The 1974-nt window shown below is 39.9% G+C and overlaps 1 protein-coding gene across 1 annotated transcript; it reads right to left on the bottom strand.

Moving 5' to 3' along the window:
- Positions 1–487: 487 nt before the first annotated feature.
- On the bottom strand, positions 488–1558 carry SSU72L5 (SSU72 like 5). The gene has a single exon (NM_001414002.2). It carries the CDS (start codon positions 1485–1487, stop codon positions 903–905), a length of 585 nt encoding a protein of 194 aa, NP_001400931.1. The 5' UTR covers positions 1488–1558; the 3' UTR covers positions 488–902.
- Between the last annotated feature and the right edge of the window lie 416 nt (positions 1559–1974).

Below are 1974 nucleotides of genomic sequence, written 5' to 3'. Positions count from 1 at the left end.
TGAAAAAGAGTTTCAATTGTTTCTCCTTGAAAACATCATTAGGTTTATCACCTGATGTTCTCAATGTTCATACCAATGAACATTTTAAACCTAATAAAATTTTCACTATGAAAGATCCCTTTTTTTCAGTGTAATTCATAAGGTTTAAACAAAAGCATGTCGCTTAGTGGCTTGAAATGCATCCCCCAAACAGAAATAAGAATATAGTTTTTATTTACATTTTTTATTTCATTTAATTTGATGACATGATTTCAGCAGATAATTCCAAATTTTACAATCATATGTAGTTCATTATCCAACTTGGATTTTACCTATTAAAGTGAGCATTAGTAAAAAAGATATAATCTATATGTAAAAACATTTATCTGTTCAAACATGTAATATTGTACTCTTATTAAAGAAGAACAACATTTAAGTTAACATACCACACTCCATTGGTCTCAACTAACTTAAAAAATTAAAAAATTTAAAAAAAAAACCACTCAAATTGAGAAAAGGAATTTTATTTAAAAGGTGCTTATCTATACAATGTTATTTATCTGCTGAATACCCTTAAACAAATCATTTTTCCAGCAGTCCATTATCAGCTCGGTTTGCTCATCTGGAAAATGGCGTCATGGTGGGCTAGCTTCCTTGTAGAATGATATAAGCATGAAATTAGTTATGCCATGTAATGCACCTAGCACAATGCCAAGCATTTTTCAGTGCTTTTAAAAATGTTAGTCCTTCTCATTTCCCATAAAATATTTTCTTGGTAATAGTCTCTTTTCAGGTGATGTGTACAAAAGTAACACAAACAGTACTCAGTGGAAGGTCTTTGTAGATGCTTCTCACAATAAATCCGGACTAAAGTCCCATGCCTAAGTTCTTACTGAGGAAGGGGACAAAGCCAGCCCAGATGTTCAGTAGAAGCAGACGGTGTGAAGAAAGCTTTTTCCTGCCTTCTCCTCCATTTGCAAGAGCAGCTCCTCCAGATTGTCTTCCATGTCGTCTGACTGCTGCAGGCACTGGCAAATCTCACAGATGAGGAAAGCTCCCAGGGTGGCATCTTCCAGGGTATCTTGGATTTCCATGTTGATCACGTGCACAGGCTGAAAGGTCTGCTGTTCTCTGGAACACAGATCTTCCACCACTGTGTCATAGACACTCTCCTCACAGGTGAAGATGACATCAAAGGAATCAGTGCACTCCTGAAATCTTTCTGGACCGGGCTTGATTCTCTCATTTCTTCCCAAGATGTGTAAGATTCCGTTGCGGGTGTAGCGTTCTCTATCTTTCCTGAGGAGGTCATTGTACATCTCCTTATATGTTGTTGCAAAATCATAAACTACAGGACGATTGGGTCTTGGTCCTGGTAGCCTCACATGAGATTCAGTTCCAAAAGACCGGACACTTAGCCCTTTTCTCCTGAGGATGCTGTGGGCCTCCATGCTCCTGTTGACATTGCTCACGCACACCACAGCCACCCTGAGTGTGGAGGAGAGCATGATGGCGGCCACTGGGAACCAGAGAGACACAGGCACCTCAGCTGCTGCAGGGTCTCGGAGCCGAGGAGACGACCACCTATACCCAGGTCTTCCAAACGAGCTAATGTGGAGGCACAGGAGGCAGGTTTATATTGAGTCACCTTAATTAGTGGGTGGAGACTTCATGACTTCTGGATTGATTAGGTTGTGATAATCGTCTCCTAACTCATCACAAGAACAATCAAGATGATTAAACTACCTAAAGCAGTAACTCTCTACAAAGGTGGCACCACCCTATCTGGATTCATTTAAAATCTGGAGTTTGCTCTGGTGGTTCTCCTAGTGAATGGGGGCTGCTATTGACAATGGCCAAGACAATTAAGCTACCTGCAAGCATGTCATAGGACTCTCCAGTGACCTTCAGACATTAAATTGGATGATAAACATATTGACAATGTCCAAGGCTGCACCCCATTTAATTATAAATTACAAGTGATGTTGCTTGTTT

Source organism: Homo sapiens, chromosome 11 (genome assembly GCF_000001405.40).
Source record: "Homo sapiens chromosome 11, GRCh38.p14 Primary Assembly".
Lineage (NCBI taxonomy): Eukaryota > Metazoa > Chordata > Mammalia > Primates > Hominidae > Homo > Homo sapiens.
This window is presented reverse-complemented; position numbering and strand designations above follow the sequence as displayed.